Genomic DNA, 7018 nt, shown 5'->3' on the forward strand with positions numbered 1-7018 from the left:
TTTTGTAACAGCCAGAGTCCAGGATGCTTTGCCCAGGGCATTGGGCTGGCACTGCAGAGGCCTGGGGGATGGGGGGACACCTGGGACATGGCTGGTGGGAATTGTTCTAGGAAACCTCAGGGATTCTCCCTGGACCTGTCAAAGCCCCTTCCCTGTTTCTTCTGAGGCTGTGTGTCCCCCCACTCGCACAAGGGTCCTTTCTATGCCTGCTCCCCTGATAAATGTCATCTGCCTGCTCTAGAATGGCTTCCAGACCCCACAGACCCCCTCCTCATGAGCTCCCACCCTAGGGTACTCTCCACCAGTCCGCGCTTTCAGGAGCTCACCAGACCCAGACAGCCTGTTGTCAGAGCTCATCCACACAGCAGGACCCTGGCCCACTGCCCAGCCCAGAGCCAGGCCCACCACGGCCTCTGGGGACAACTGCCCTTCCCCCCACCCCCTCCACATGGTCCCTTGCCCATGAGACCCTGCCCTGCTAATTTAATGCACTGCCTTGGTGTGAGCACTGTGATTCTAATGACAACACACCATGGCCTTCTGGGCGAGGCTGGGTCCAGACACAGATCCCAAATGCCTGCTGGGGAGAAGGCAAGAGGCCCGGGGAGGCCCAGGACAAGACATGGGTCCCAGGCCCTGGTGCCCTCCCTCTTGGCCTTCCAGCTGCTGCTGCTGTGACCAGATTCCCATTCACCCAGCCCCGTCCATGGGCCCCAGCAAGCCATCTGTGCCCCACAGAGGGCAGACCCCTAAGAGTGGGACCCCTTTCTAGCCAAAGAACATGAGATAGCCCCAAATCCTCCTAAACATGATGGATCCTGGTCTGAGGGGCTGGGCTCAGGTGACTCCTGCAGGGAACTTCACCTGCCTGGATGAGGTCAAGTGTGAATCAGGTGGGGCCTGCCCTCCACCACCCCATCATGGAAGAGGTCCAGCCCACAGTGGGCCCAAGAGGGCCGCCCTTGGACCTAGGGACCCAAGTCAGCATATCCTGAGTCAGAAGGTCAAGTCCAGCCTCCCCTCAGGCAGGGAGAATCTGGCTTTGACAGGAGCAGATAAATTCTCAAGGTGGAATTTGCCCAACATACTAGTTTGGCAAGGGACTAGCTGGCTGAATCATTGAGTCAAGGACAGCCAACGTTTCCAATAGCAATTTGCCAACTTAGCAATTACCAATTCTGAAAAACAATTTGTTTATTTGAAACACTTAAATACTTAGGCTGTCTCATGTCTGAAGCATGATGATGCCTTGCGTGATTTAAAGGACAGACGTCACGAATGCCAAGAGTTTTGTGGCGGTCCATCCTGCCAGTGTCTTCTCCCACTTTTGTTCTGTGGATTTGAGCTCACAGTTTGTGCTGTGCCCACCGCCTGCCCACCCTAACGAGACTCCTGGAGACTTGGCTGGCCAGTCACCAGAGGAAGAGGGGCCCAGCAGCACGCCAGCATTCACCCACCTGTGGGTATCAGTCAGGCTCCTGGTGGAAGCCAGAGGACATATTCGAATGGGTATTTGAGGAAAGGGGCTGTTCACAGAAGTGTGGACCGAGTTAAGGGAACCAATAAGAGATGAGGAATGTCCTGGACCAGCAAGAGTGGGAGCTGTTATCTCCCTGGGTCTAAAGGGACAGGAAAGGTGTCCACAGATCCCAAAGAGAGCTGTGGCTGTAGAGGAGGATCATCAGGAGCTGCAGCCATCAGTAGAAAGATGTGGCCACTGCCAAACCAGCAAGGAAGAATCTGAGCGAATAACCACCTCTCCTCTCTCTCTCTCTCCCACCTCCTATGACGTCCTCCACTGTGTGAATTCCACTAGGGCCAGACAGTGAGGCACCCTGGTGATGCAGTCCAAGAGGGAGTGGGCAGAGAGGAGCCAGTGGGTATGGAGGGGAAACAGAGAAACAGAGAATTCCAGCTCACTCTGCGGGATTTCTGGGTCTGATAGAAACATGGCATTATTATTATTATTATTATTATTTATTATTATTTTGAGATGGAGTTTTGCTCTTGTTACCCAGGCTGAAGTGCAGTAGCATGATCTCGGCTCACTGCAACTTCTGCCTCCCACGTTCAAGAGATCCTCCTGCCTCAGCCTCCCGAGTAGCTGGGATTACCGGCACATGCCACCATGCCTTGCTAATTTTTGTATTTTTGGTACAGATGAGGTTTCACCATGTTGAACAGGCTGGTCTTGAACTCCTGACCTCAGGTGATCCACCTGCCTCGGCCTCCCAAAGGGCTGGGATTACAGGCATGAGCCACTGTGCCCAGCCTGCAGCAGCTTAATTTTACAGTGTCCCTTTTCTCCTTCTGGAAACTATATGGGGCAACAACAAGACTGAGGAGGAAGAGGAGGAGGAGGAGGAGGAGGAGGAGGAAAAAGCCCATCATCAATACACACATCAAACTCAACTTCAGAGAAATTAGGAAGCTGGGAAGCCACGTAAACCCAAAAGCAGGAGACACCAGCAGAACCAACGCAGGAAGCCAGGGAAGTGCAGAAGAACAGGGCATGGGGGGCAACCCAGGGGGGAATCTTCACTATTGCCAGCAACACACATTCCCAGCAGGAGAGGACCCTCAGAGTGAGAACGCAGAGCTGGAGAAGTGAAGAAGGAGCAGGTGGTGCCCGGGGAAGTCCAGGGGTGTGGGATCTGAGAGCACCCCTTCCCAAGAGAGGCGGGAACACTTGGGAAGGCAGGGCTGAGTCCCTGGAGGCTGTATCTGGGAAAGGAGGCTGGCAGTAGAATCTTCCTGAAGGCGAGTGGGTTCTGAGAGGCAGAGGGGCAGTGGTACAGAGGTGAGGCTGACGCTTCTGTGCAGGAAGGTCAGGCTCCTGAGGAAGGGAGCCCCGAATGCTCTCCACTAGATTCCCAGGGAGCCCCACTCCCTCCACAGGGACCTCGCGCTGACATCTGGGAAATGCCATTCATACTGGAACGTCCAACACACTGCCATGAATGTGAGGGTTTTGTGACTGATGGGGTAGGTTTCTCTCTTCCAACTTAATAGTATAATGTCCATTTATTCCTCCCCCAGCCTCCCTGAACATGCACCTCTTAGATAGCCACAGTACGGTGATCAGAACCAGGAAATCCACATTCTCATATTTAACTATATTAAAATTATTTCACAAAATAACCAATTTTATTAATTTAATTAAATACATTTAACTAATGTTTAAATATATTTAAATAATTTAACTGATTTAAAATGAACATATTCGCTAAACAAAAGACCTTATTGGAGTTTCACCACTTTTTCCACTAATGTCCTTTTTCTGTTCCCAAATTCCACCCAGGATCACGCTGCATTTAGTTATTTCTTAGTCTCTCGCCATTTTGTAGGACTGCAATAACAGTTCCTCAATCTTTCCTTATCTTTCATAACCGTGACATCTTGAACCAGTACTGATCAGTATTTGTGAAATGTTCCTCGATTTGGGATTGTCTGATGTATTTCCATGATTGGACTGAAGTTACGAACTTTTGGCAATTACAGCACAAAAATGATGTGGAATCCTTCCCAGTGCATTCCATCAGAGTTATGGCATTGATAGTTCTTCTTACTGATGATGTTGAACTTGTTCATTTGGTTCAGGTTTCTGCTGGGTTTCTCCATTGTAAAGTTACTATCTTTCCCCCTCATAGGGGGAAAGATCTTAGGAGAAATACTTGGAGACTATGAAAATTTTGTATTTTCTCAAACTTTAAAATTTTTTTTCAGGCCAGGCACAGTGGCTCACGCCTGTAATCCTAGCACTTTGGGAAGCCGAGGTGGGTGGATCACCTGAGGTCAGGAGTTCAAAACCAGCTTGATCAACATGGAGAAACCCCATACCTACTAAAAATACAAAATTAGCCAGGCATGGTGGTGCATGCCTGTAATCCCAGCTACTCAGGAGGCTGAGGAAAGAGAATTGCTTGAACCCGGGAGGAGAGGCTGCAGTGAGCTGAGATCGTGCCATTGCACTCCAGCCTGGATAACAAGAGCAAAAGTCCATCACAAAAAAAAAAAAAAAAAAAAAAAAAAAAAAAAAAAAAGGCCAGGCGCAATGGCTCACACCTGTAATCCCAGCACTTTGGGAGGCCAAGGTGGGTGGATCACCTGAGGTCAGGAGTTGGAGACCAGCCTGACCAACATGGAGAAACCCCATCTATACTAAAATAAAATACAAAATTAGCTGGGCATGGTGGTGCATGCCTGTAATCCCAGCTACTCAGGAGGCTGAGGCAGTAGAATTGCTTGAACACGGGAGGTGGAGGTTGCTGTGAGCCGAGATCCTGCCATTGCACTCCAGCCTGGCCAACAAAAGCAAACCTCCATCTCAAAAAAAAAAAAAAACAACAAAACACCTATTTTGACAGCCGGGCATGGTGGCTCACACCTGTAATCCCAGCACTTTGGGAGGCCAAGGCAGGCGGATCACCTGAAGTCAGGAGTTCAAGACCAGCCTGGCGAACATGGTGAAACCCCGTCTCTACTAAACATACAAAAATTAGTTGGGCATGGTGGCATGTGCCTGTAAGTTCCAGCTACTTGGGAGGCTGAGGCAGGAGAATCACTTGAACCCAGAAGGCAGAGGTTGCAGTGAGCTGAGACGGCGCCATTGCACTCCAGCCTGGGCAGCAGAGTGAGGGATCTCAAAAAATTATAATAAAAAAATAATAATTCTATTTTGAATTGTGGTAAAATATACATAAAATTTACTACCTTAACCACTTCTAAGTGGCAGTTGGAACAGGGGTCAAGGAGAGCCCTTGGGTTGGGTAATGTAGAGTATATTCACATTGCCATGCAACCAATCTCCGGAACTTTCTCATCTGACAAAACCAAAACTCTATATCCACTAAGCAACTTCCCATTTTCTCCCTTCCCCATGTCCCTGGCAACCCCCGTTCTACCTTCTGTTTCTATTAGTTTGCTTACTCAGTCTGGACGCTTCACATAAGTGAAGGAACACAGTATTTGTCTTTTTCTAACTGGCTTATTTCACTTAGCATAATGTCCTCAATGTTCATCCATGTTGTAGCATGTGTTAGAATTTCCTTCCTTTTTAAGGCTGAAGAATATTTTATTGTATGTATATACCACATTTTATCAATTCATCTGCCTATGGACAATTCGGCTGCATCCATCTTTTGACGAGTGTGAATACCACTGCTATAAATATCAGTGTACAAATATTTCTATGAGACCTTGCTTTCAATTATTTTGGCTATATACCCAGAAGTGATATTGCCGGATCATTTGGTAATTCTATTTTCAATTTTTTGAGAAACTGCCTGTCCTGTGCTGAGCAGGTCTATATAAACCTACCCGCAAAGGCCAAGGAACCTGAGATACCAAAGAAAGAGGCTGACAAATCCAGTTTCTCAGAAAGAAACATTTAATAGGCGTTTATGAACAGAAGGCAAGTCAGGGATGGCACCAAGATAAGATGGTGGATCCCTGTGCCATCACCCCCACCCCCCCGACCCAGGGCTTCTATAGCATAGGGGAAGGGTAATGCGGGCTTCAGCAGGGATGTGTATGGCCAGACACGGTGGCTCACGCCTGCAATCCCAGCTCTTTGGGAGGCCAAGGTGGGCGGATCACCTGAGGTCAGGAGTTCCAGACCAGCCTGGCCAACACGGTAAAACCTCGTCTCTACTAAAAATACAAAAATTAGCCAGGCGTGGTGGCAGGCGCCTGTAATCCCAGTTACTCGGGAAGCTGAGGCAGGAGAATCGCTTGAGCCCAGGAGGTGAAGTTTGCAGTGAGCTGAGATTGTGCCACTGCAGTCCAACCTGGGAGACAGAGTGAGACTCGGTCTCAAAAAATAAAAAATATATTTTTTAAAAAGATAAAATAGAAATCATAGATGAAGTCTTGGAACTGGGATTAATCAGAATATGGCAGATTAGCATCCAAGATGGAATTGCTTTATTCTCATTCAAGGTTTCCCTCATTCTTCACTCTCCCCATGCTGGTCACCTTGCTGTTTGTTCCTCGAACACATATGAAATGCGTTTCTGTCTTGGCAGTCATCCTGCTACCTGTAATGTCAGCACTGCTTTCTGTTGTCCCTTCAGTCAGGTCACTGTTCAAATAGCTCTCTAGACAGGCTCTTCCTTATCATTCTACTTAAAATAGCCCCCAATCACTCTGTGTCCCTTTAGCCTGCTTCCTCTTCCTGCTATTTCATACTACCTGAAAAAATACTTGAACTTCCTAGAACATAAGCTCATAAAAGCAAGAACTGTGCTCCACCTCTCCTCTCCTCTACCCCAGCACTCAGAAGAGAAACAGAGTCAGCATCCAGTGAGTGTTCATGAATCAAGTCACTGCTTGGCAGAATTCAGCACTGGGACCACAGCCTCGCCTATCTTCAACTCTTTCTCCTTCTGCTTTTCCTCCTCCCACTCTAGTAGCCACTCTTCTGGGGGCTTGTCCCTTAAATGATTAGTCCTTACTGACCTATTTTCTGTCCACTTTATCTGTTTTTGAGAGAGGGTCTCACTCTGTTGCCCAGGCTGGAGTGCAGTGGCATGAATATGGGTCACTGCAGCCTCCACCTCCTGGGCTCAAGTGATCTTCCTGCCTCAGCCTGCCATGCCATGTAACTGAGGCCACAGGCATGTGCCACCATGTCCAGCTAATTTCTTGATTTTTTTTTTGGTAGAAATGGGTCTCACTTTATTGCCCAGTCTGGTCTTGAAGTCCTACACTCGAGCAGTCATCTCAACTTGGCCTCCCAAAGTGCTGGGATTACAGGCATGAGATACTGCACCTGGTCTTATTTTTTCTTTTCTTAAGATACAGGGTCTCACCATCTGGCCCAGGCTGAACTCAAACTGCTGAGCTCAAGTAATTCCCCCACCTCAGCCTCCGAAGTAGCTAGGACTAAAGGCATGAAACCACCATGCTTGGCTTGTCCAATTTCATTCTACACACTTTCTTGGTATTTAAACAGCTGCTGTTGCTCTTCATTCTGTAGCTCTACATCAGATTCATGCTCTAGTCCTGTATATCCAAA

The sequence above is a fragment of the Homo sapiens genome, chromosome 10 (genome assembly GCF_000001405.40).
Source record: "Homo sapiens chromosome 10, GRCh38.p14 Primary Assembly".
Taxonomy (NCBI): domain Eukaryota; kingdom Metazoa; phylum Chordata; class Mammalia; order Primates; family Hominidae; genus Homo; species Homo sapiens.